At 49.2% G+C, this 26,748-nt stretch overlaps 1 protein-coding gene and 1 long non-coding RNA gene across 5 annotated transcripts in view, besides 4 other annotated features; one reads left to right on the top strand and one right to left on the bottom strand.

The window, feature by feature from the left end:
* PLBD2 (phospholipase B domain containing 2) overlaps positions 1-19,095 on the bottom strand; it is a 33,043-nt gene extending 13,948 nt beyond the window's left edge. For 2 of the 4 annotated variants that reach the window (NM_173542.4, NM_001159727.2), the window contains exons 1-5: positions 18,792-19,095; positions 8,473-8,566; positions 4,875-5,033; positions 3,108-3,208; positions 2,675-2,889 (exon numbers count right to left, since the gene is read on the bottom strand). In NM_173542.4, the coding sequence (NP_775813.2) occupies positions 2,675-2,889; positions 3,108-3,208; positions 4,875-5,033; positions 8,473-8,566; positions 18,792-19,081 (859 nt within the window). In that variant the 5' untranslated portion in view covers positions 19,082-19,095. Of the gene's footprint in view, positions 1-2,674; positions 2,890-3,107; positions 3,209-4,874; positions 5,034-6,415; positions 6,612-8,472; positions 8,567-18,791 lie in introns of those variants that run through there. The other 2 variants (XM_017018977.2, XM_011538023.3) reach the window with 2 other exon arrangements.
* Positions 13,471-13,971: an enhancer, noted in NCBI's record as "H3K4me1 hESC enhancer chr12:113801516-113802016 (GRCh37/hg19 assembly coordinates)". NCBI's record gives its function as "activates a minimal SCP1, AML or CMV promoter by ChIP-STARR-seq in primed H9 embryonic stem cells {active_cell/tissue: H9 hESC(primed)}" and the evidence as "EXISTENCE:reporter gene assay evidence [ECO:0000049][PMID:30033119]".
* Positions 17,837-18,336: an enhancer, noted in NCBI's record as "H3K4me1 hESC enhancer chr12:113797151-113797650 (GRCh37/hg19 assembly coordinates)". NCBI's record gives its function as "activates a minimal SCP1, AML or CMV promoter by ChIP-STARR-seq in naive H9 embryonic stem cells {active_cell/tissue: H9 hESC(naive)}" and the evidence as "EXISTENCE:reporter gene assay evidence [ECO:0000049][PMID:30033119]".
* Positions 18,172-24,225, top strand: LOC105369989 (uncharacterized). The gene is made up of 3 exons (XR_945346.3): positions 18,172-18,352; positions 23,914-24,007; positions 24,187-24,225. It is a non-coding gene; the product is annotated as an uncharacterized LOC105369989 (long non-coding RNA).
* Positions 18,672-18,731: a silencer, noted in NCBI's record as "silent region_4895". NCBI's record gives its function as "represses an Ori minimal core promoter by ATAC-STARR-seq in GM12878 lymphoblastoid cells {active_cell/tissue: GM12878}" and the evidence as "EXISTENCE:reporter gene assay evidence [ECO:0000049][PMID:35858748]".
* Positions 18,782-19,281: a silencer, noted in NCBI's record as "silent region_4894". NCBI's record gives its function as "represses an Ori minimal core promoter by ATAC-STARR-seq in GM12878 lymphoblastoid cells {active_cell/tissue: GM12878}" and the evidence as "EXISTENCE:reporter gene assay evidence [ECO:0000049][PMID:35858748]".
* Positions 24,226-26,748: the final 2,523 nt, after the last annotated feature.

Raw genomic sequence — 26,748 nt, 5'->3', positions numbered from 1 at the left:
AGGACAGGCGGTTGGATCACTTGAGGTCAGGTATTCAAGACCAGCCTGGCCAACATGGCGAAACCCCATTTCTACGGAAAATACAAAAATTAGCTGGGTGTGGTGGTGTGTGCCTGTAATCCCAGCTACTCAGGAGGCTGAGGCAGAAGAATCGCTTGAACCTAGGAAGCAGAGGTTGCAGTGAGCCGAGATTGCACTACTGCCCTCTAGTCTGGGTGACAGAGCAAGACTGTTTAAAAACAAAACAAACAAACAAACAAAAAACAGAAATCAGGACAGAGATGATGCTGGGGTGGGGGTGTGCCTGGAAAGGGATACGAGGGAAGCTTCTAGGGGCTGGGAATGTTCTGTTTCTCCAGATGGATGCTATACACAGGTGTGTTCCACGTGCAAGAAATTCAAGTTGTACACTTACAGTGTATACGATTTCCTGTATAAATGTCAATTTAGAGTTTACTTAAATTTCAATGAATGGACATTAGGTTGTCACCAAACCACTGTGATAGCAGACTTGCTTATACACACTCCCCATGCAGAAGCTGAAATGTCTCTCTAGGGACAGACTGGAGTCAGAGAATTGCTGGATCACTGGAGTGACAGATTTTGAATTTTATTAGATGCCAGCTGGATTCCTCTTAAAAGTAGCTGTGCCAACGCATACTCCCATTAGCAATGAATAAGGCTGGACACTTCCCCACCTCCTCACCAGCTCCTGGTCCCATCAAGTTTTTACATTTGGCCATGAAGGAGGTACTGCAAACATTTGGCAGTGGTATCCCTGGGGCTGATGCTGGGGCCTGGGATGAAGGATGTGGCACTATGGAGGACTTTGGCCTTGACTGTAAAACTGTTTTTTTCTTTATTAGAGACAAGGTCTTGCACTGTCACCCAGGCTGGGGTGTCATGGCGTGATCACTGTTCACTGCAGCCTCAACCTCCTGGGCTCAAGCAATCCTCCTGCTTCGAATTCCCAAGGCGCTGGGATTACGGGGATGGGTCACCGTGCCCAGCCAGTTTTCACATTTGACAGGAAGAATGTATTCATGCAATCCTTGCAATTGGTTGTTTGCAAAAATAGCTCTAATTCTTCCCATGCCTGCATCCAAGCCATATGTGATGTGACTCTGCAGTTCCTCATAGCAAATGGTGGAGCCTATTCTCCCATCTCTTGAGCCTGGGCTGGCCACCTGACTTGATTTGGATAAAGAATGCTGTGTCAGCCAGGTGCGGTGGCTCACACCTTTAATCCCAGTACTTTGGGAGGCCGAGGCGGCTGTATCACCTGAGGTCAGGAGTTCAAGACCAGCCTGGCCAACATGGCAAAACCCCGTCTCTACTAAAAATACAAAAATTAGCCAGACACAGTGGTGCGCGCCTATAATCCCAGCTACTTGGGAGGCTGAGGCAGGAGAATCACTTGAACCCAGGAGGCAGAGGTCACAGTGAGCTGAGATTGTGCCACTGCACTCCAGCTTAGGCAACAGAACAAGACTCTGTCTCAAAAAAAAAAAAAAAAAATGCTGTGTCAAGCCAGGTGCGGTGGCTCACACCTGTAATCCAAGCACTTTAGGAGGCCAAAGTGGGCAGATCACTTGAGGTCAGGAGGTCAAGACCAGCCTGGCCAATATGGGAAAACCCTGTCTCTGCTAAAAATACAAAAATTAGCTGGGCATGGTGATGCACGCCTGTAGTCCCAGCTACTCGAGAGGCTGAGGCAGGAGAATTGCCTGAACCCGGGAGGCAGAGGTTGCAGTGAGCTGAGATCATGCCACTGCACTCCAGCCTGGGCACCAGAGCAAGATTCTGTCTCAAAATAAAAAGAAAAGAATGCTGTGTCAGTTTCACCAAGGTCTCAAGAGGCCTTTACCATATCCTGCCCCAGTGCTACATGAACAGGCCTGTGCTCACCTACTGATGATGAAAGACCACGTAGCCCAGCTGTCCCCATCACCCTGGCTGACAATCAACCCCAGACAGGAGAAGAGGCCATCCCATTCCAGCCATCCCACCCCAGCTGACCTGCCAGCAGACTGCTGATGCATCAGTGAGCCTAGCCAAGATCAGCCTGGCCCAGCCCAGAAAACCAAAACCACCTAGCTGACCCATAGAGGCAGGAGCAAAAAATAAATAGCGGTTATTTAAGCTGTTGTTGTTTTAAATTTTGGGGTAACTGGTTAAGCAGCAATAGGTAAAATAAAAAAGGCAATAAACATGTAAAACAAGATGAACTGGCTAGGCGTGGTGGCTCACATAAGTAATCACAGCACTTTGGGAGGCCAAGTCAGGAGGATCACTTGAGCCCAGGAGTTTGAGACAAGCCTGGGCAACATAGTGAGACTCCATCTCTTAAAAATAAAAAAATAAACAAATTAGCTGAGTGTGGTGGTACACATTTGTAGTTCCAGATACTTGGGAGGCTGAGGCAGGAGGATAATCTGAGCCTGGGAAGTCAAGGCTACAGTGAGCCATGACTGTGCCACTGTACTCCAGCCTGGGCAACAGAGCAAGACCCCAACTCAAAAAGAAAAAAACAAAACCAAAATGAACTCTTGGAATATCCCTGCAGTGACTCCGTGTGTTGGGAGGGTTTCCAAGGCCCAAACCTCCTAGGACCACTCCCCACGTGTGTGCCCACCCACCTGCTCATCCCCCAGACACACCCACACCCACCTACCCCAGGGGCCTTCCCGGAACTGGAGCCAGTACTTCTTGATGACACGCAGCATGTGCTGGTAGTTGTTCCAGGTGTTGTGGGCAACCAGGAGGTCACTCTGGCCAGGGAGCAGCTTGATGAGGGCAGAACAGGAGCCAGAGCCCAGAGAAGGTTTGATCTTGGTCTTGTTCAGGGCCAGCTCCAGGTCTTCCAGGTCCCCAGAGAGCTGCAGCAGGCTGAGGAGGGCCAGGGCATCAGAGGGTTACCACGCCTGCTGTGAGTGCTGTTATGTACTCATTTTGCAGAGGAGAAAGCTGAGGCTCTGGGAAGTCAGCTGACTGTTCCAAGGCCACAGAGCCAGGGAGTGGCAAGGTTGATGCTGGAACCCAGGTCTGTCCGACTATGAGTGTGTGGCCCTTCTTCCCACCCTGTTCACTCTGGGGGTGGCACTTACAGGAACCCCAAGGGTTTGATGGTGAACTTCCCAGCTGGGAAGCTCACACGGCCTTCGTAGCTGTCCTCCAGGCCTTTCAGCTGCAGGAGGGTCAGCCGCACCTAGGGGAGGGGGCGGGGGCAGAGGGAGGGTGAGGCCTCTCCTCCAGGCTCACACCTTCTCCTTCAACGGGACGGGCTCTGGCCTGGGGGTTCAGACAGAGCAGGAGGCCCGGGGGTACCCTCCAGACTCCAGCCAGCCTTGACTCCCCCAAACTACCACCCACCCCTCCATGCTGAGCACTCTCCTGCTTTCAATGAATTAACTCTATGTCTCTGCCCTGTGTTAACCCCAAATCAGCCCCACTTAAGAGCCTAGTTCAAAAGCCATCTCTTCTAGGACGCCTCCCAGCCTGGCCTGGCCTCTTGCCAACTGCTCCTGTTCTGAGTTCAGTACTGACTGTATTGCTGCCTCGGGCACCTGTCTCATGCATCTGACTTCTCCCCATTGTCATCATTTTGCCTCAACATCCTATAGCCATAAAGTATCATCAGTGTGTCCCTCATGGGGCCTTGGGCAGGCACACTGGGCACTTAGTAAGCATCTGCAAGATGGATGGGTGGGTTGTTGGATGAATGGATGGGTGGGTGGATGTATGTATGTATGGGTGGGTGAGTGGGTTGACAGGTGGGAGGTGAATGGATGGGTGGATGAGTGGGTGGGTGGGTGGGTGGATGTATGTATGTATGGGTAGATGGATGGATGATGGATGGACGGGTGTGTGAATGGATAGATGAATGGGTGGGTAAATGGATGGATGGATGAGTGAGTGAGCGAATGGATAGATATGTAGATGAGTGAGTGGGTGGGTGGGTGGAAGGATGGGTGGATGGAGGATGGATGGATGGGTGGGTAAATGGGTGGGTAAATGAACGGATGGATGAGTGAGTGAATAGATGGATAGGTAGATGGGTGAGTGGGTGGGTAGGTGGATGAATGGATGGATGGATGCATGGATGGATGGATGGGTGGATGGATGGGTGGTGGATGTGTGGAATGGACAGGTAGATGGGTTGGTGGTAGAAGAGTCTGTCTTAGGGTGTGAGTAGGTGGGTGGGTAAACAGTGAGAAGTTCTACAGAGGAAAATGGTGCAAACCTGGCCTAGGCTAGGCAGACATGCTAACAGGCATTGATGGCCACTTTACAGAGACAGCCTGCCGTGTGTACCTCACAGCAAACACCTGACATTTTCCGGGGAATCCATAAATAACTGACTTTTCCAATGATGGCCTAGCCAGTGGCCCAAAGGCAGAGAGCCTGCCTGGGCCTCTCCGTTAGCTGCCAGCTGATCAGCAGCTCACTCAAGGAAAGGAAAACAAAATTCACTGTGTCCAGACTTTCTGGGATTTTCTGGTTTTCCCCTTCCCCTCTTTCTCATACTGTCTTTACTTGCATCCAATGTAATCAATCTACCAAGCAACCTCCCTTGTATGCAAGCAAAACACCATATGTACACAAGCAAAACACCATGCTAACAACTGACTATTTGTTTTTGGTCATTATTTAACTGTAGGTAGGCTAGGATGGATGGCTGGAGTTCCAGCAAGTGGACAGATGGAGACTGGGCAGATGGATGAGTGGCAGGTCGGCTAGGAGGGATGGAGATGATGATGGAAACAGAGGCGGCTGGGCAGCTGGACATGCCACAAGGCTGGCCAGAACAACAGGAGACAGGATGGCTGGCCAGCTGGAAGCCCCCTCCCACCAAGCGTGGCAGCAGGACTCACCTGGTGCCAGTAAGGTGAGTCTGGGTTTGACTCCATCTCTTCCTGCATCCACTCTAGGTTGGCCTCCAGGAAGCTCTTCAGCCTCTCGCAGTAGCCGACTTCATACTCGAAGGGGCCGCAGTAATTCACCACCGTGTTCATCCAGTGCATGTAGATGAGCTGTGGGGTAGGGGGTGGGCGAGGCAAGGGCGGGCAGCTGGGGTGCTCTCTTCCCTGAGAGCCCCCCACCCAGGCTGCCCCAGAGCGGAGGCTGCTGGTGTGGCCACCTGAGTCCTTGCTCATGCTGTCCTCTCCCTGGAGGCTCCTCTCCCTGCCCAGCTCTGCCCCGGATAGGGACCCCAGGCCCCTGGAAGTTGCCCTGAGAGCCTTTAGCCTGCAAAGCCTATAACTGATGGCACCACCTCTGCTACTGGGGACCCCAATCTATATGTGTGTTCAGTTAGTCAATCCATGAATGTTTTTTTTTTGAGCACCTATTATGTTCCTTTTTAAGCACTGAGGACATAGCAGGGAACAAAACAGCAATAACCCTTCTGATTCCACTGGGCAAGAGAATGCCGTGGCAGTTTCACCCAGACTTCATGCGGCCCTCTGCACTTCCCACCGAGATGCCACCTGCATGAGTCCAGGCTCGCCTGCTGGGGGACAAAAGACCACGTAGCCTGGTCATCCCCGTGAGTGAGTGGCAGCACTCACTGCCTCAGGATTGATGGCTTCATGACTGCTGCTCCATCACCATCTCACTGAAACACATCCAAATCCTGTTCATCCTTCAAGGCCCACTAAGACACCACCTCCTCCATGCAGGCCTCCATGACTTCCACAGCATTTCCCCACTGCCTGTCCTATACCAGGTTCTGGGCTGGGATCAGGGGACACAGCTGGGGACAAGACATATTACCACCCACAAGAAGGCCACAGGCTAGAGGGGGAGGCAGCAGGGCACACTAGTTAGGAGCGAGACGTGGGTTAGACAGAGCTGAGGTTGAATGGTGCCTCCTCTGTGGACTGGCTGGCTGACCTTGTGAAAGTAGCTTCACCTCTCTGGGCCCAAGCCTGCCCATCCATCCAGGGGAGGTGCACATGCTTCCCTCAGGGGTTTAGGGTGGAGGCTCAGTGAGACTTTGTGGGCAAAGTGCCTGGCACATGGGCCTGGGATTCCTGACATAAGAGCCACTTGTGGCCTTGCCTCAGTGTCCCCAGCAGGCCGTGAGCCCCTTGAGAGACTGAACCGTGTCTCATTCACCACTGAGCACCCACAACAGCCCTGGCCCAGCATCTGACCACTTCCCCAGACACTAAGGTCCCAGAGGGCCACCCACAACTGCGACTGGGTGTCAGAAGGAGCAGTGTGAGTTTTATAAAAGGGTGTCCCACTGGACGTTGTCCTCTGTGATGTGCTCTTTCCCCCTCGCCTCCAGGCATCTCAGATTCACCCATTTCCACTGCTCTGTCATGCTGCACTGTGCACCTCCACCTGGTCAGCCATTCACCTGCCCATGGTGTTTTAAGGACTCCCACTTTGGGACTGCTTTGAGTACCTTGTGCATGTCCGTGGGTCACCTCTAAGGTATGCACCCAAGTAGTAGGGCTGCTGGATCCTAAGGCACATGCAGGTTCAACTCCACAAGTTGATGTCAACTTGTGACCCAATGCATGCCTCCATCTGCATCACAGGAGACAGCTGTCACTCCACAGCCTCGCCTACTTCTTGTTTTGTTTTTTGTGTGGTTTTGTTTTGTTTCATTTTTTTGAGACAAGGTCTCATTCTGTCACAAGGCTGGAGTACAGTGGTACAATCCTAGCTCACTGCAGCCTCCAACTCCTGAGCTCAAGCAGTCCTCCCTCCTCAGCCTCCCAACATCCTGGGATTACAGGCAGGTGCTCTGCCTTTGGGCCACTGGTTAGGCCATCAATGGAAAAGTCAGTAATTTATGGATTCCCTGGAAAATGTCGGTGTTTACTGTGAAGTACACATGACAAGCTGTCTCTGTAAAGTGGTCATCAATGCCTGATAGCATGTCTGCCTAGCCTAGGCCAGGTGGCTCGTACCTGTAATCCCAACACTCTGGGAAGCCGAGGTGGGCAGATCACTTGAGGTCAGGAGTTTGAGACCAGCCTGGCCAACATGGCAAAACCCCATCTCTACTTGAAATGCAAAAACTAGCCAGACGTGGTGGTGCATGCCTGTAATTCCAGCTACTCTGGAGGCTGAGGCATGAGAATCATTTGAACCCAGGGAGGCAGAGGTTGCAGTAAGCCAAGATCACGCCACTGTACTCCAGTCTAGGTGACAGAGTGAGACTCTGTCTCAAAAAAAAAAAAAAAAAAAAAAGAAAAGAAAAAGAAAATTACACTAGGTACTATCTGATACACAGAAAAAATATATAACATATTCTAAGTTATGAAGCATGATAATAAAATGAACATCCAAACTAAAACCTAGAATGGTACTGATACCATTGAGCATCCCCTAAGCCCCTGCCTCCTCTATCCCTAGAGGCACCCACCACCCTAAATGCGGTAGCTATCATTCCCTTTCATTCAGTCATTTATATTGAGATATAGTCAGCATACCATAAAATTCACATTTAAAAATGTACAATTTGGCCAGGCACAGTGGCTCACACCTGTAATCCCAGCACTTTGGGAGGCCGAGGTGGGCGGATCACTTGAGGTCAGGAGTTTGAGACCAGCCTGGCCAACAGGGCGAAATCCCACCTCTACTAAAAATACAAAAATTAGGTGGGCATGGTTGTGCACATCTGTAATCCCAGCTAGTCGGAAGGCTGAGGCAGGAAAATCACTTGAACCTGGGAAGCAGAGGTTGCAGTGAGCCGAGATCACACCACTGCACTCCAGCCTGGGTGACAGAGCAAGACTCTGTCTCAAAAAAAAAAAAAGTACAATTCATGGTTTTTAATGTATTCATAAGGTTGTGCAACTATCACCACTCTCTAACTCCAGAACATTTTCATCATCCCAGAAAGAAACCCCATACCCATCAGCAGTCACTCCCCACTCCCCACTCCCCCCAAGTCCCTGGCACCACTAGTTGGCTTTCTGTCTCTGTAGATTTGCTTATTCTGAACATTTTATATAAACAGAATCATACAGTATGTGCCCTTTTGTGACTGGTTTTTTTCGTTTAGCATGTTTTCAAGGTTCTTTCATGTTCTGGTGTGCGTCAGTCCTTTATTCCCGTTTATAGCTGAATAATGTTGCATTGTATGATAGATCACGTTGTATGTATCCATTCATCAGCAGCTGGGCATTCGAGTTGTGCCTACTCCCTTACTTTTGTTAAGCTAGTTTTACTGCATGTGATGAGTCCCTGAACAACATACTATTTTGCTTTACTTGTTATTGAGCTTTATAAGAAGTCAGACAATATCAGAAGTGGGTGAGAGCCAGGTGCAGTGGCCGGCCCCTAGTGTAATTTTCTAAAGAATGCATGTCCACTTTTTCTCCCCAGATAGATGAAGGGCTGTGGCAGGAGTTGGGGGCCTACTCTGCACACATCTCAAAAGCACACTGGGGAACATGCTTGTGGGGCTGGGGCAGGGTGGGAGCCCCATGTCCCCACCTTGGCCCTTACCTCCTCCGACACAGCAGCCTCCACCACACCGGCTGCATAGGCCTGCAAGCTGTCATTGTATTGGCCACTTGTGCCCAGCTCCAGGAAGGCCCACCTGGAGGGGAAGGAGGGGACACTCAGTCAGCAGCAGAGGCCCCCAGCTAGACACATGGCATCTCCAGGCTTAAACTATGAAAACAACACAGTGGTCAGTAGACGTGCACGTGAATGTCTGTCTGTCCATCTTTGTGAGCTTGCCGGATTAAATCCCTCCAAGAGGAACTACTGGCTCAAAGGGTACACGTATTTTTAATTTTCATAGATATTGACAAACAGCCTCCCCCAAAAATGCAGAACATATCTATATTCCCTTACCCACAATAACACCAGCTAACAACATCCATTGAGGATGACATGTTAGCTCTGTGCCACGCCATGTTCTAGTCACTTTCATGTCTATTAACTCATTGAGTCCCCTATAATCCTACAAGGTGGGCACGTCCCCATCTTGTCCCTCTTGCAGAAGAGGAGGAAATTAAAACACAGACTTATGTCACATGCCATCCCCACCCCCATGTCCATGCCCTTTGCCACGAGACTACAGTCCTCCACCAATGGCCAAGTATCCTTCCCTGCTCCTTCATTTGGGCTTGGTTGTGTCACGTGACCTGCTTTGGCCAATGGGATATGGGTGGAAGTGACAGCATGCTAGTTATAAGATTAGCCTTCAGGAAGCCTCACTTGCCCCTTTGTGCCTCTGCCATCACCATGGGAAGAACAAGCCCCGGCCAGCCCACTGGTCCCAGGGATATGAGAGCCACACAAGCACACCAGGTCTGTAGAGCTGCAGCATGAAGTAGAGCTGCCCCAGCAGCCCCACGGATCCATGAGAATCAATGTTGTTGGTTTAAGCTGCTGGATTGGGGCTGGTTTATCACACAGCACTGCTGCCCAATACTAGCGGATACATGTGAAAGGTCACAGAGTTGGCAGGGGCAGGATTCACTTCCAGGCAGGCTGGCTCCCACTCCTCTGAAGGAGCACTTCTCAACCTCTGATGTATATATGCAGGTTACCTGAAGGCCTGGTTAGAAGGCAGGTTCTGATCAGTTCTGCAATGGGGTCTGAGATTCTTGTTTTTTTTTTTTCCTGAGACAGAGTCTGGCTGTTTCCCAGGCTGGGGGGTACTGGCATGATCTCAGCTCACTGCAACCTCTGCCTCCCAGGTTCAAGTGATTCTCCTGCCTCAGCCTCCGGGGTAGCTGGGATTACAGGTGTGAGCCACCACACCCAGCTAATTTGTGTATTTTTAGTAGAGACAGGGTTTTACCATGTTGGCCAGTCTGGTCTAGAACTCCTGGCCTCAAGAGATCCGCCCACCTCAGCCTCCCAAAGTGCTGGGATTACAGGCACTTTGTTAAGATACTTTACAGTAGCTTAAGGCCACTGCACCAGGGCTTTTTTCTTTTTTTTTTTTTTTTTGAGACAGCATCTTGCTGTCACCCAGGCTGAAGTGCAGCGGCATGATCTTGGCACACTGCAGCCTCCGGCCTCCCAGGCTCAAACTATCCTTCCACCTACGCCTCCTGAGTAGCTAGAACTACAGGCATGTGCCACCACACCCAGCTAATTTTGGTATTTTTTGTAGAGACGGGGTTTCACCATGTTGGCCAGGCTGGTCTTGAACTCCTGACGTCAAGTGATCCACCTGCCTCGGCCTCCCAAAGTGATGGGATTACAGGCATGAGCCACTATGCCCGGGCTCTGCACTTCTAAGTAGCCTCCAGGTAATGCCAACACTGCCAGTCCTGGAACCATAGCAGGTCACAGACTGAGTCTCTACAATGAGCAAACTTCTGTTTGCCCACTCCCTCACTAAAATGATTACTAGCAAACTTTTTCATCTTTACCAAGGTGATAGCTGCAGAAGTTCCAACATGCTTCCAATTTTTAAATTAGTTGAGTTACATATATTTTCTTATTTTTATTGGTCATTTATATTTCTCTGTTTCATGTCCTTTATCCATTTTTCTCTATTGGGTTTTTAAAAATCTTTTCTTATTGGTTGGTGAAATTCCCTGTATACACATTAGCCCTCTGCTTGTCACTAACATTGAGAATACGGGGCCAAGCACAGTGGCTCATGCCTGTAATCCCAGCACTTTGGCTGGCCAAGAATTCGAGAAATTTGAGACCAGCCTGGCCAACATGGTGAAACCCCCATGTCTACTAAAAATAGAATAATCAGCTGGGTGTAGTGGTACACTCTTGTAGTCCCAGCTACTCAGGAGCCTGAGGCAGGAGAATCGCTTGAACTGGGAGGCGGAGGTTGCAGTGAGCAAAATGGCACCACTGCACTCCAGCCTGGGTGACAGAGCATGACTCTGTCTAGAAAAAGAAAAAAGAAGGGGAGGGAAGGGGGAGGGAGGGAGAGGAGGAGGAGGGAAGGAGGGGAGTGGGGAGAGGCCAGGTGGCTGATGCCTATAATCCTAGCACCTTAGGAGGCTAAGGCAGGAGCATCACTTGAGGCCAGGAGTTCAAGACCAGCCTGGGAAAGCAAGACTCTGTCTACACGAAATAATTTAAAAGTTACAGGTGCAGTGGGGTGTGCCTGTAGTCCCAGCTACTCAAGAGGTTGAGGCAGGAAGATCACTTGAGCCCAAGAGTTTGAGGCTGCAGTAAGTTATGATCATTCCACTGCACTCCAGCCTGGATGACAGAGCATGACCCTCTCTCTAAAATAATAATAAGAGAAAATATGTTTGTGTTTTAATTGGTTTTTGCATTTGTTCTTGCCATATAGACGTTTTCATTTTTGTGTAACCAGATCAATCTTTTCCTTCACGGTGCTAGATATCATTTTTGCTCCAAGGACACAAAAATATTCACTCATGTCATTTCTATAACTAGCGGGGGGAAGCATTTTTAAAGGCAATTTCTATTAAGAAAATGAGGGCAACAGGAAGACGCTAAAGAGACCTTGAAGAGGGTACAAGACAGGGAGAGGCAGGCTTGGCCAGGGCTGTCTCGTGGGAAGTTGGCTAAAAAGCCATCGAACACTTCCAGGACAGGAATAGCTCAGCCCTGGAGAAGACTCTGGAGAGGGAAAGACTCAAAAATGCCCACATCTGATACCTTCAGTAAGCAAGCCTTTTTGAGTGCCTACTGGCTGCCAGACATTGAGGGTATCTAAGGATGAATGATGTTCATCTGGCCTTCAAAATGCTAGTGGCAGCAGAGGGGAAAGGCATGAAAACAGATAAGGACATAACGGGGTAACCATTATGATGGAAAAACGAATAAAGTGTCAAGGGGTTGTCCTGAGGAGGTATACTGCTGCTGCTACAATTATCTGACTACAATCTGTGAAGGCATCACAGAAGAGGTGACAGCTGTTCTGGGTTTTGAAGTTTACATAGGAGTTTGCCAGGTGAAGAGAAGAGAGAAAGTAAAAGGAAGAAGCCTGAGTTCTGAATGTTCCAAAGCAAAGTACTTTGGGGCCAGCAGGGTGGGGCTGTGGGGATCTTTAGTGGGGCCTTGATACAGGGAATTACAGTAGCCCCAGAAACTGTGGTAAGTACTTACATTTTTATGTAACTCTAAATTCTTCCAAAAATGGCCAGGGCTCGGTGGCTCACGCCTGTAATCCCAGCACTTTGGGAAGCTGAGGAGGGCGATCACTTGAGGTCAGGAGTTTGAGACCAGCCTGGCTAACATGGTGAAACCTCGTCTCTACTAAAACTACAAAAATTAGCTGGGTGTAGTGGTGCGTGCCTGTAGTCCCAGCTACTCTGGTGACTGAGGCATGAATCGCTTGAACCCGGGAGGTTACAGTAAGCTAAGATTGTGCCACTATACTCCAGCCGGGGTGACAGAATGAGACTCTGTCAAAAAAAAAAAAAAAATTCTTCCAACAACCGTATGACATGGGTTTTATTCTTCCCATTTTACAGATGTGGGGAACCGAGGCTCCCACATAATACAGTTAGATGAAGTGATTTGCCCAAGGTCACACAGCAGGTGAGCAGCAGAGCTGAGACTAACATTCTTGAGTGAATGCTCTGCGCCTCTAACTCAACTCAGGTTTGTGGGGGAGTGTTGGGGGCAAGGAGGTATAGTTCTTATCAAATGCAGATGACAGCCATGAACTTCGGGCTAATTATTCACATAGCATCACAGATAAGGACAGAGGAAAAAACAAGGGGAAAAAATTAGATTTTTAAATTTCAAGGAGAATGGAAGACAAAGAGTTTGGGCTTGTGGGTCCCTCCGACTTGGTCTGAATCCCTGGGTAGATCCCTTACTGGTTGTGTACCTTTGGGCAAACTGCTTTACCTCTCGGGGCCTCGGTTTTCTCATCTGTAAAATGGGCAGAGTGACTCCCCCTTCAGAGGACTGCTGTGGCATGTGCCAGGAGAGAACACACATTATGCACTCACTAAGTATTTGTCTCATCAAGAATCTGAGAGGAGATGGCGCAGTGGCTCATGCCTGTAACCCCAGTGCTTTGGGAGGCTGAGGTGGGAGGATCACTTGAGACCAGGAGTAAGAGACCAGCCTGGACAATAAAGCGAGACTCCCCTCTCTACAAAAAATACAAAATAAATTAACCAGGTGTGGTGGTGCTTGCCTATAGTCACAGGAGGCTGGGGCTAAGATGGGAGGATCGCTTGAGCCCAGGCTGCAGTGAGCTATGATCACACCACTGTACTCCAGTCCAGACAATAGAGCAAGATGCTGTCTCATTAAAAAAAAAAAAAGAATCTGAGGGGGTAGGAGTTTGAGGAGACCCGGCGAGTGTGATGATGGGAGGAAGATTATAACAGGGCCCAATATGCAGATCCCCTCGTGATAAAAGCTGGCAGTGGATCAAAGGAGACCTCGGACAAACTGCGTAAAACCAAAAAAGCTGTGCAGCCGCGAGCCCCAGTAGTAACTGAGCGGCCAGTGGCCTCCTCCAGGGCACACCTGGTGAGAGCTACCCCTTCTAGCAAGGGTGGGCTCAGCCAAGGCCTCGGCACTGAGGCCCCGGAGACGGGCAGTGGTTAGGAACCCATTCCCTGGCCGGATGCTCATACAGCCCTGCAGAGATGGGCATAAAGGCCCTTCTTCACAGCAGGACTTCTCTTCAAAGCCAGAAAAGACGGGCCTTCCCGAAACACCCATCATTAGGGGCCTGATACAATAATCACACATGCCATAGCGGACTGCATGTGCTGATGAGCAAAGAGGTCAGAGATGAAGTTCAAAAAAAAGTCGAGAAGTCCAAATGGTAGGCACGAACTAAGCCCCTGTGTAAATGCATCACACACCACATATGCCTCTACATTTATATGTATGCAAGAAGGTTTAGGCCTCTTTATGCATAGAAAATTCTGGAAGAAAGAGCTAAAAGTCCGGGTGCAGTGGCTCACGCCTGTAATCCCAACACTCTGGGAGGCTGAGGCGGGTGGATCATGAGGTCAGGAGATCGAGACCATCTTGGCTAACATGGTGAAACCCCGTCTCTACTAAAAATACAAAAAATTAGCCGGGCGTGGGGGCGGGCACCTGTAGTCCCAGCTACTCGGGAGGCTGAGGCAGGAGAATGGCGTGAACCCGGGAGGCGGAGCTTGCAGCGACCCGAAATCGCGCCACTGACTCCAGCCTGGGCAACAGGGCGAGACTCCACCTCAAAAAAAAAAAAAAAAAAAGCTAAAAATGTTTATATCTAGGAAGAATGGTAGGGGGAGGCTTTTACTTCCCATATCCCATCCCCTCTTTCTAAACTGCTAGAAATTTGTTTTGTTTTGTTTTGTTTGAGATAGGGTCTCACTCTGTCACCCAGGCTGGAGTGCACTGGCGTGATCACAGCTCAGTGTAGCCTCACCTGGACTCAAGCAGTCCTCCCGTCTCAGCTTCTGAGTAGCTGGAACTACAGGCACGCACCACCGTGCCCAGCTAGTTTTTTATATTTTTTGCAGAGATAGGGTCTCACCATGTTGCCCAGGCTGGTCTCAAACTCCTGGGCTCAAGCAATCCTCCTGCCTCGGCCTCCCAAAGTGCTGGCATTACAGGCACAAGCCACAGCGCCCGGCCAGAAAAACACTTTAGAGTGTGTCTATAACTAGATGTGCTTATTAAAGACTACTCTTCGGCCAGGCACAATAGCTCACACCTGTAATCCCAGCACTTTGGGAGGCTGAGGTGGGCAGATCACCTGACGTCAGGAGTTCAAGACCAGCCTGGCCAACATGGTGAAACCCCATCTCTATTAAAATTACAAAAAAAAAAAAAAAATTAGCTGGGTATAGTGGCTCACACCTGTAATCCCAGCTACTAGGGAGGCTGAGGCAGGAAGATCACTTGAACCCAGGAGGCGGAGGTTGCAATGAGCCAAGATCATGCCACTGCACTCCAGCCTGGGTAACAGAGCAGACTCTATCTCAAAAAAAAAAAATAAATCAAAAGAAGATTACTCCTTATTCAGAGAGTATGTCCTTTCTGCTTGTTTGCTCTAAAATTGCCAATCTTTTATGAGATAAACGCTGACAGGGGTTGACAAATATTGCTCTCCTTTGTTTTTAATGCACTTGCTTGACAAAAATTAAAAGTTGGCAGCAGTAGGTCTGTTTCCTCAATCTTTTTTTTTTTTTCCTGGAAAATCTATGGGCCAAATTGCAATTTCATGCCAGGGGCAGCTAATGTCTCTAAGATGACTCAAGAGTCTAATCAAGGTGCCTCTTGAAAGAGGCCACATTGGAAAAAGTCAGACCACTGATATGAGCAGGGGGCCACAAATATCTCACAAATATCAGCACCCCACTTCCGCAGTCTAGTATGGCCTTGGATGCTCTCCATTATGTGGGATGCCCCCCATAACTGTGTCTATCACTCCTATCTCAGCCTTTTTTTTTTTTTATTTGAGACAGGGTCTCACTCTGTTGCCCAGGCTGGAGTGCAGTGGCACAATCACAGCTGACTGCAGCCTCGACTTCCCAGGCTCAAACGAGTAGCTGGGACCACAGGCATGCGCAACCACACCCAGCTAATTTTTTACTTTTTTTTTGCAGAGACAGGGTTTCACCACATTGCCCAAGCTGGTCTCGAAATCCTGGCCCCTCGCCATCCTCCTGCCTCGGTCTCCCAAAACATTGGGATTACAGGCATGAGCTACAGCGCCTGTCCTCCTTTCTCATTCTTGATGGTATAGATTCATCTCCTGTGATTGTTCAAAGAAACAGCTGGGCCTTATTTATCCATTTTACTGGGCTGTTTTTGCCTGTTGGTTGGTGGATTTGGGATGCTTCCCCGTTTACTAAATTTGTTAATTCCCTCTAACTTTGATTCACTTCCTCTCTCAACGGGATGGTGATTTACTTTAAGCAACCTCGTCGATAAGGTGCTGGTCAGTGGGATCAGATCAGGGAAGGAAGACAAAGTAAGGTTGGAGGATACAGCTTCCCCAGGACCAAGGCCAGAGCTAGACTGAGGCAGGCTCTGCTCCTAGTGACATCTCTGATCTCCAAGCACCAAATCATAAATGTTTCCAGGCTGTGTGGGGGTGTTGGCCCAAAGTCAAGATATGGCACAACTGAAAGAAGGTACCGAGCACAGTGGCTCACATCTGTAATCCCAACATTTGGGGATGCTAAGGTGAGAGGATCACTTGAGCCCAGGAGTTCAAGACCAGCCTGGGCAACATGACAAGACCCCTGTTTCTACAAAAAAAAAGAATTTAAAAATTAGCCAGGCATGGGGGTGCGTATCTATAGTCCCAGCTACTTGGGAGGCCGAGGTCGGAGGATTTCTTGAGCCTGGGAGTTCAAGGCTGCAGTGAGCCATGATCATACCACTGCACTCGAGCCTGGATAACACAGGGAGACCCTGTCTCAAAAAAAAAAAAAAAACAAAAAAAAAAAAACCTTTTTTAAAAAATAAAAAAGACGAAGGATTATGGTGTAGGGAGAATTTATCCTGATAATCCCAGGATCCCCAGTGGCAAAATCTGGGGATTTCACCAGGAAGGAGGAGGATCCTAATTCTGAGTGAACAGAGGCATCAAATCCCTGCCCCCACCCTCCGAAATAAGACACAGAGTCCCCCACAGATCAGAGATTCTGCTGATCAGGAGCCAGGACACCCCCTATGGCTTTCTTTCATCTGACCCTGAGTCCTCAAGCAGCTGTCTCTGAGGACCTCAGTTTCCTGCCTATAAAATGGGGCTCGCTTTATGGTTTTCCCTGCATCAGAGCCTCAAGGGCTGGCAAACTCAAAGGGAAAGGGGCATGTGAGCGTAAGAGGAGGGGATGAGAGAGGGTGCCGAAAACAAGCCAGAAAGTCCAAGATGGGCAGATCACCTGAAGTCAGGAGTTTGAGACCAGCCTGGCCAACATGGTGAAACCCCATCTCTACTAATAATACAAAAATTAGCCGGGCATGGTGGCACACACCTGTAATTCCAGCTACTTGGGAGGCTGAGACACGAGAATCGCTTGAACCCAGGGTGGGGAGGTTGCAGTGAGCCAATATCGTGCCCCTGCACTCCAGCTGGGCAACGGAGTGAAACTGTGTCTCAAAAAATAAAATACAAATAAAAATAAATAAACAGTGCTTTCTGTGACCCCAGTGAATTTCCATGACCCTTTTGGTCCTACCTTGATATGAGGGAACATGCTCAGAGAGGTGAAGGGATTTGCCCAAGGTCACACAGCAGAGGGGCTGAGCCTGGAAGAACTTTCCATCCAGCACAATCAAGGAAGCCTTCTCTCCACTTCCATGTTTACCATAGTCAAGAGCAACACAGCCCAGGAGGGGCCTCCAGAGGCCAAAGCCCCCTCCCCATGCTGGGCCTCGCTCCTGCCCCTCCTCGCCTGAACAGTTCTGTCATGTCCTCTTGATTCTGCTATGCAGGGCCAAAAACATGAGTGAGTCAGCAAAGAACGGGTCACCAGATCCAAGAGTCCCGGCAGCCCCCGAGGCCAGCCACAAAGCTTCAGTTCCCTCCACAGATGCCAGCTCACTCTGTGGCCTCCTCTCTCTGGGAGCCTTCCCAGATTTACCCCAACCAGTGCCCCTGTGTCTGTGCAAATATCTCCCCCAAATCTCACGTCTACTTGATGTACCCCCCAAGTGCCACCAGAATGGGGGTGTCCTCGGCATCCTGTGTCTCCCTAACACCTGCAGAAGCCAATGGATGCCAGTAAAATGGATAGGGGCTAAAGTGGGAGGAGGCCCTTTCTGCTGCAGGGGGCAGTGTGGTCTGAGCACAGACCACATCCTGGGCACATCCTAGTGCTAGGGTTCCCTAGCATCATCTGGACACTAGGATATGACGGATGCACCCCGGGTTCCCTAGGATCCCCCAGCACAGCCTGATCCAGCGTCTGGGCCCTGCTGACAAGGCTTTGAAGCTGATCCTTCCCACTCCCACTGACTCTGATTTCTCTTCTATCGCTGTCTGTGTTTCCCACTGAGTAGAGACAGCTGCTCAGCTGTGTCCCTAAGGCCAACCATCAGGGTAATGAATAAATGAATGGGCACAAGCCCTTGTACAGAACTTGCAGCACATGACCACCCAACTAGAGCACATCCTCAAAATCTGGGCCACAGATGGGGAAACGGGAGCCCAGACAGGCGGAGGAGTTAGGTGAGACTCACACATCAGAATGACAGCCTGGGTTCCAGCAATAAAGATGGTGAGCATGGCTGCCAAACACGGCATCCAGCCAAGGACTTCCCCTTGGACCAGGACACAGAAGACAAGGGAGGAGCAGAGCCCTAGCAGGATACTAAATGGGTCTATGTGACTTTAGGGACCCTCTGCTTTTGGACTAGCCTGGAACCCAGGTTCAGTCCTGCTGACCTGGCACTGGAAGGGAGGCAGGGTGCTGGCACCCACGAGCAAGCCACAGCCAAGCAGGTAAGAATTAGTCTCCTGCTGAGTTCTCATCACCCCTCAGGCCTGGGGACAGGGGGCTGGCCTCCATGGGGTGAGGAGGCAAAGTCTAGGGAAGGGAGCAGGTCCCCGTGAGGATAGAATTTACCCACCAGCCATGGACCTGATCCAGATGCAGGCACTGCGGCCTCGGTGGTAGGGAACTGGCTTCTTGGGGACAGAAGTACTGTCACCACTGGCTGAAGGCAAGGGACTGGCCCCATGAGGTGAGGGATGCCGCAGTAGCCAGCTCCCAAACAGGGTACTTGGCCCGCAGGGCGGTGCTGCAGCCTCGGGAGTAGCTGACCCCCAGAGAAACGGGCGTTCCCACCCGGCAAGAGGCCGGTCCCGGGAACAGGCGAGGTCCGGCGCCCACGCATCCCCCTCCCCCGATGGCCCCGCGTGGGGATAAGCCAACCCTTACCCAGTCTCGCGGATGGCGTTGGTGAGGTTGGCCCAGGCCACGGCGTCAGGGTGGCGTCCGTCCACCATAAGCAGCTGGCCCGCCGAGACGTCCAGGAGCACCGAGCGGCTGCGGGAGGCTGGAGGGACCTGCCCATCGCGCGCCCAGCGGCCCCCCGGCGCTGGGATCGCCCCCGCCAGGCCGCTCAGGAACGGCCCGACCAGCAGGGCCAGCACCAGGGCCAGCGCCAGCGCCCGCGTCAGCGCCCGGGCCAGGTGGCTGCCGGGGTAGCAGTACATCTGGCCCACCATGACCGCACAATGCTGCGCCCCGCAGCCCGGGTCACGTGACTGCGCTCTGCCATGGGCGGGGCCGAGGGCGGGCGGGGCCGGGCTTGGGCTGAGCCTTTCCGGGATGGGAGGGGCTGGCGCGAGGGGAGGCCTACGGGGCGGGACCCACCTTAAAGAGCCCGGCCGCCCCTTCCACCTACGCAAACCCGGTTTAGCACACTTCCCCAAGTTTTTTTTTTTTTTTTTTTTTGAGACAAGACAAAACCTCCATATGTCGCCCAGACTGGAGTGCAGTGACGCGATCTCGGCTCATTGCCACCTCCGCCTCCCGGGTTCAAGCGATTCTCCTGCCTCATCCTCCTGAGTAGGTGGGATTACAGGCGCGCACCACCACGCCCAGCTGATTTATGTAATTTCAGTACAGACGGGGTTTCGCCATGTTGGCCAGGCTGGTCTTGAACTCCTGACCTCAGGTGATCCGCCTGCCTCAGCCTCCCAAAGTGCTGGGATTACAGGGGTGAGCCACCGCGCCCGGCCAGATTTATTTAATGGTATTTGCCATTTATTTAATACAGTTATCTAATGCAGTCTTTATTCCAACTTTTCCCATTGTCCCTCAAATACCCTTTTTACATGTGTGTGGGAAAAAGCTGTCTAACTACTACTCAAAACCTAGATGCCGTCGGGCGCGGTGGCTCACGCCTGTAATCCCAACACTCCAGGAGGCCAGGGCGGGCGAGTTCAGGAGTTCAAGACCAGCCTGGGCAACATGGTGAAACCCCCGTCTCTACTAAAAATACAAAAAAGTAGCCGGACGCAGTGAGGCGCGCCTATAGTCCCAGCTACTCGGGAGACTGAGGTAGGAAAATCACCTGAGCCCGGAAGGTCGAGGCTGCAGAGAGTCGAGATTGCACCACTGCACTCCAGCCTGAGCAACCAGAATGAGACCTTGTCTCAAAAGAAAAAAAAAAAAAAAAAAACCTAGATGCAATAAAAGATTAATGCATTTGACTGTATAAATTTTTTAACTTTTTCATGTCAAAAAACTCAATAAGCAAAGTCAAAAGACATCTGACAGACCAGGAGAAACTATTTGCAACATATATCATATATATACATTACATATATATATGTATATATATCTCAACATATATCATATAATATATCAGGAACTCTTAAAATTTGAGAGGGAAGGCCAGGTGAGTGGTTCATGCCTGTAATCACAGCACTTTGGGTGGCCAAGGTGGGAGGAATGCTTGAGCCCAGGAGTTTGAGACCAGCCTAGGAAACCTGGCAAGACTCTGTCTCTATAAAATATAAAAATTAGCTGAGCTTGGTGGTGCACACCTGTAGTCCTGTTGTGGGAAACTGAGGAACGGAGAGACCAATATGAGAGAACAGGAGGATGTTTATTTCAACGTACGCACTGGCTCAGTGGATTCACATCCAAAAAGCTGAGCCTAGAACAAAGATATTGTGGGGTTTTTATAAGCAAGCTTAGAAAGGTAAAACAAAAGTAGTTAATCATATAGTGCATAACTTGTGGCCTTGCATAGCTGGTGGCCTTGTAGCTGCATCAAAAGTAAAACAAGAACTGGCTAAATAGAGAGGTTTGTAAAACATAGTCATGCTTAAGAGACCAAGGAAAGGAATAGCAATAAAATAATTTGTCTTTCTCTCTTTTTTTTCCTTCAACCTTGCTCTGGAGGCGGGCGGTGGGGTGGAGGGCGGGGTCTGGAGCCCAGTCCTCTGGCCTTGGCTTTTCGGACAGCGTTATCTTATAACTGTCCTTGAAGTGAGCTGCTAAGCAGAGGAAAACTTGTTCTTCTTCTTTTTTAACCCTTGCCTTGCCACATTCTGGGCCTTAGCTCTTACTTCTCTTGGAGTGAATATATGTAGTACTTATTATTATTATTATTTTAATTTCTGCCTCAGTCCCAGCTACTGGGAGGCCGAGGGGGGAGGATTGCTTGAGCCTAGGAAGTCGAGGCTACAGTGAGTTGCACTACAGCCTGGGCAACAGAGCAAGAAGTTGTCAAAAAGGAAAGAGAGAGAGAGAGAGAGAAAGAGAGAGAAAAGGAAGGAAGGAAGGGAGGGAGGGAGGGAAAGGGAAGGAAGGGAAGGAAGAAAGGAAGGAAGGAAGGAAGGAAGGAAGGAAGGAAGGAAGAAAGAAAGAAAGAAAGAAAGAAAGAAAGAAAGAAAGAAAGAAAGAAAAGGTTTGAGAAGGAAAATGTGAAAACCAGACAGAAAACATGGGCAAAAAGCATCAGCAAATAATTCATGAACAAAGATGTAGAAGTGACCATTATATTTATGAAAAATGCTTGCTTCATTCACTATAGGAGAAATGCAAATTAAAGCTACACTGAAAATAAACATTCAGAGAAATATATGGTGAGAGAGCGTATACCCTGAATGGTACATTCAGGGTAACATGAAGCGATGCTCCTAAGTGCCCAACCTCAATCTTCGGGTGAAAACAAACTCTATACTTAACCATTCAAAAAAGAAGAGGCCAGGTGCAGTGGCTCATGTCTGTAATCCCAGCACTTTGGGAAGCCGAGGCAGGCAGATCACGTGAGGTCAGGGGTTCAAGACCAGCCTGACCAACATTGTGAAACCCCATCTCTACTAAAAATACAAAATAATTAGCCGGGTGGTGGCATGTGCCTGTGGTCCCAGCTGCTGGGGAGGCTGAGGCAGGAAATTCGCTTGAACCTGGGAGGTGGAGGTTGCAGTGAACCGAGATCATGCCACTGCATTCCAGCCTGGGCGACAGAGTGAGACTCTGTCCAGAAGAAGGAGAAGGAGAAGAAGTAAGAAATATACAGTGAAAATAGAGTGCATGTAAAGACTGCTGAAATAAGGTCTGTAATTTAGTTTTTTGATTTTTGTTTTCTTGGGTTTGAGACAGGGTCTCACTTTGTCGTCCAGGCTGGGATGCAGTGGTGCAATCATAGCTCACTGTAGCCTCAATCTTTCAGGCTCAAGTGATTCTCTCACCTAAGTCTCCTAGGTAGCTGGGCTACAGGCATGCACCACCACACCTGGTTAATTTTTTTGAGTTTTTGAAGAGATGGAGTCTTACTTTGTTGCTTGACTGGTCTCAAACTCCTGGGCTCAAGCGATCCTCCCACCATGGCCTCCCAAAGTGCTGGGATTTGTAATTTAAAGTACCATATCAGGCCGGGTTCGGGGGCTCATGCCTGTAATCCCTGCACTTTGGGAGGCCATGGTGGGAGGATCGCTTGAGCTCAGGAGTTCAAGAGCAGCCTGAGCAAGATGGTGAAACCCCATCTCTACTAAAAATCCAAAAAAAATTTATCTGGGCATGGTGGCACACGCCTGTAATCTCAGCTACTCGGGAGGCTGAGGCACGAGAATTGCTTGAACCTGGGAGGCGGAGGTTGCAGTGAGCTGAGATTGTATCACTGCACTCCAGCCTAGGTAACAGAGTGAGACCCTGTCTCAAAAAATTTTTAAAAGTTAAAAAAAAAGTTCCATATCAAAGTCAATTTCCTGATTTTGATATTTATACTCTGGTTACATAAGTTGTTATCACTGGGAGAAACTAGATAAAGAGTACATGTTTTCAAAAACAAAAACTTTAGGGCCGGACACAGTGGCTCACGCCTGTAATCCCAGCACTTTGGGAGGCCGAGGCGGGTGGATCATGAGGTCAGGAGTTCAAGACCAGCCTGGCCAAGATGGTGAAACCCCGTCTCTACTAAAAATACAAAAAAAAATTACAGCATGCCTGTAATCCCAGCTACTCGGGAGGCTGAGGTAGGAGAATCGCTTGAACCCCGGGGGCGGAGGTTGCAGTGAGCTGAGATCGCACCACTGCACTCCAGCCTGGGTGACAGAGCAAGACTCCCTCTCAAAAAAAAAAACAAAAAAAAAAACTTTAAATAAACTACACTGAGATATCATTTCTTTCTATGAGATTAAAAAAAAAAAGTTTAGAAGCTTGACAACATACCCTGTTGGTGAGCCTGGAGAAACAGGCACATGCACGTTGCTAGTGGGTATGCAAAAGACAGGAAGAGTAATGTCTAACAAAACACCAAGGGCATCTACCTCTGACCCAGCAATCCCACCTCTAAGTATTTATCCATAAGGTTATTTATTGCAGCATTGTTTGTAATTTTAAACTGTTGGAAACACTTTCAAGCCCATACATAGAAGCTTCATTAAATAAACCACACAACAGCTGGGAAATGGAATACTATGCAGCTATAAAAAAGAATGAGGCCGGGTGCAGTGGCTCACGCCTGTAATCACAGCACTTTGGGAGGCCGAGGCGGGTGGATTACAAGGTCAGGAGTTCAAGATCAGCCTGGCCAATATGAGGAAACCCCATTTCTACTAAAAATACAAAAATTAGCCAGGCATCGTGGCAGGCGCCTGTAGTCCCAGCTACTCGGGAGGCTGAGGCAGGAGGATCACTTGAACCCAGAAGGCGGAAGTTGCAGTGAGCCAAGATCACACCAATGCACTCCAGCCCAGGTGACAGAGTGAGACTCCATCTCAAAAAAAAAAAAAAAAAAAAAAGAGAATGAAGAGGCTGGGCACAGTGGCTCATGCCTGTAATCTCAGCACTTTGGGAGTCTGAGGTGAGAGGATCACTTGAGCCCAGGAGTTCAAGACCAGCCTGGGCAACATAGTGAGACCCTGTCTCTGAAAACAAACAAACAAAAAAATCCATTCAACTCAATAGAATGGAGAAAACCCCTAAAGATGAACACAAAGAGAAACAAATAATCCTGACTGTATTTAAATAAACATAAGCACACTAAAAGGAATGGGGGTCTGGGGAGAAGTAACCCAACTACCTTTTTTTTTTTTTTAAGACTGATCTCGGCTGGGATTACAGGTGTGAGCCACTGCGTCTGGCCCCAAGTAACTTTTTAACACAGTTCTTCAACTGCATACCTTCAATCTAAGGTAGGAAGAGAGGGAGGGAGGGAAGAGTGGAGGGAGGGAGGGAGGAAAGAAGGGAAGGAAGGAGGGAGAGAGGGAGGGAGGGAGGAGTGGAGGGAGGGAGGGAAGAAGAGAAGGAAGGAGGGAGAGAGGGAGGAAGGAAGGACAACTGAATCTTAAATTCTTTTTTTTTTTTTTTTGAGATGGAGTCTCACTCTGTCGCCCAGGCTGAAGTGCAGTGGTGCGATCTCGGCTCACTGCAACCTCCGCCTCCTGAGTTCAAGCAATTCTCCTGCCTCAGCCTCCCAAGTAGCTGGGATTACAGGTGCCCACCACTAATTTTGTATTTTTGGTAGAGATGAGGTTTCATCATGTTAGCCAGGCTGGTCTTGAACTCCTGACCTCAAGTGATCTGCCTGCCTCAGCCTCCCAATGTTCTGGGATATAGGTGTGAGCCACCATGCCCAGCCTGAATCTTAAATTTTATGTCATAGGTTTGTTTTTTTCACAGTAGTATAACAAGTTTGAAACCATTCTCTTGTATTTTAGGATTAAGCAAATTAATAAATATAGTGCTGATTTGGGATCCAGGTGTATCACCATAGGAAAAGAAAAATACAAACATGGAAAGCTACAAGCCCAGGAAGAATACTGTGATATTAGGCTGGATTTAGAGGTATCAGTAGGAACTCATGACTTTTCATATTGATATGTCAAAATCTGGAAACATATCTATGTCATTCCTGGCTCTGTCCACTGAGTGACACCAGGGACAATGACACCCCAGAAACAATGAGTGTAGGCTGGACGCAGTGGCTCACACCTGTAATCCCAGAACTTTGGGAGGCTGAGGCAGGAGGATTGCTTGAGGTCAGTAACTTGAGACCAATCTGGGCAACATAGTGAGATCTTGTCTGTACCAAAAAAAAAAAAAAAAAAAAAAAAATCAGCCAGTATTGTGGCATGCACCTGTAGTCTCAGCCTCTCAGAAGGCTGAAGTAAGAGGATCACTTGGGCCTGCGAGGTCAAGTCTGCAGTGAGCCATGGTTGCGCCACTGCACTCCACCCTGGGCAGCACAGCAAAACACTGTTTCAGAAGAAAGAGAAAGAAAGAGAGGAAGGAAGGAAGGAAAGAAGGAAGGAACGAAGGAAGGAAGGAAAGAAGGGAGGGAGGGAGGGAGGGGAGGGCAGGGGAGGGGAGGGAGAGAGGGAGGGAGAGAAAGAAAGAGAGGAAAGACAGAAAGAAAGAGAGGAAAGAGAAAGAAAGGCAGAAAGACAGAAAGGAGGGAAGGAAGGTAGGAAGGAAAGAAGGAAGGAGGGAAGGGAGGGAGGGAGGGAAAGGGAAGGGAAGGAAGGGAAGGAAAGGAAGAAAGGAAGGAAGGAAAGAAGAAAGGAAGGAAGGAGAAAGAAAAAGGAAGGAAGGAAGGAAGGAAGGGGGGGGAGGGACGGAGGGGAGGGGTAAGGAGGGGAGGGAAGGAAGAAAGAAAAGAGAATATAAAAAGAAACAATGAAAGCATCCAGTGCCCAGATCCTCATTTCCACTCAAGGGATCCAGGGCTCTAGGAGAAATGGTTGACTCCAGGGTCAGAGAAAGTGCAAAGTGGGCCTGGAACATCTTGTTTTGCCCCAAAGCAAGGTGCTCAAAGAATGATGGGAACATGTCAGAAAGCCAGCAACCAGCTTGAAGAAGCTCCTACTGGCTAAAATTGGGACAGTTTGAGCATAAAAATAACAATACTAATGTATTTAGAAACACTGACTTAAATAAAAACCTATTGAGTGCTGAGGATAAATAAGTAAAAGGAAAGTGATTGGCCAGGGGGTGGAGGGAGAGAATGATCCCAGGATGACTCTGTTCTTCTTTTTTGGAGAATGCCAACTATCAATATCAAAATAATGATAGTACCAGCCTGGGGAACATAGTCAGACCCCATTTCGAAAAATAAATAAATAAATAAAATGATAGAGTTAGAAAAATCGTTTTGCAGCCAGGCGCAGTGGCTCATACTTGTAATCCCAGCATTTTGGGAGTCTGAGGCAGGAGGATTGCTTGGGGCCAGGAGTTTGAGACTCTGTCTCTACAAAAAAATTAAAAATTAGCTGGGTGTGATAATGTGTTCCTGTAGTCTCAGCTACCAGGGAAGCTAAGGTGGGAGAATCGCTTAAGCCCAGGAGTTCGAGGCTGCAGGCTATGATCACACCATTGCATTCCAGCCTGGGTGACAGAGCAAGACCCTGTCTCAAAAAAAAAAAAGAAAAGAAAAGAAAAACCATTTTGCAATTATAGTAATGACTGATATAGCTGAGAATTGTCATGGATGCTAAATCAATTTTCATCATGACAGCCAGAGGGATCATGTTAGACTCAAGTTGGATAATGCACCTCCCCTGCTCTAAACCCTCCCATGGCTCCCCATATCTCTAAAAACTAAAGTCCTTACCATAACCCAGGAGCCTACAGATCTGACCTCCTCTTCCTTTTCTCTGACTCATCTGCCATCATCTCCCCATCACTTACTCTGTTCCATCCACCCTGGCCTCCTTGATGTTCTTAAAACATCCCAAGCATGGTTCTATTGCAGGACCTTTGCACTTGCTGTCACCTTCTTTGGAAGGCCCTTCCTAACCACTCTATTAATATTATTATTATTATAATTTTAGAGATATGGTCTCACTCTGCCACCCAGGCTGGGGTGCAGTGTCTCAATCATAGCTCACTGCAGCCTTGACCTCTTGGTCTCAAGCAATCCTCCCACCAAAGTCTT

This window comes from Homo sapiens, chromosome 12 (genome assembly GCF_000001405.40).
Source record: "Homo sapiens chromosome 12, GRCh38.p14 Primary Assembly".
Classification (NCBI taxonomy): domain Eukaryota; kingdom Metazoa; phylum Chordata; class Mammalia; order Primates; family Hominidae; genus Homo; species Homo sapiens.
The sequence above is the reverse complement of the archived record's forward strand: the minus strand, read 5'-3'. Positions and strand labels throughout refer to the sequence as shown.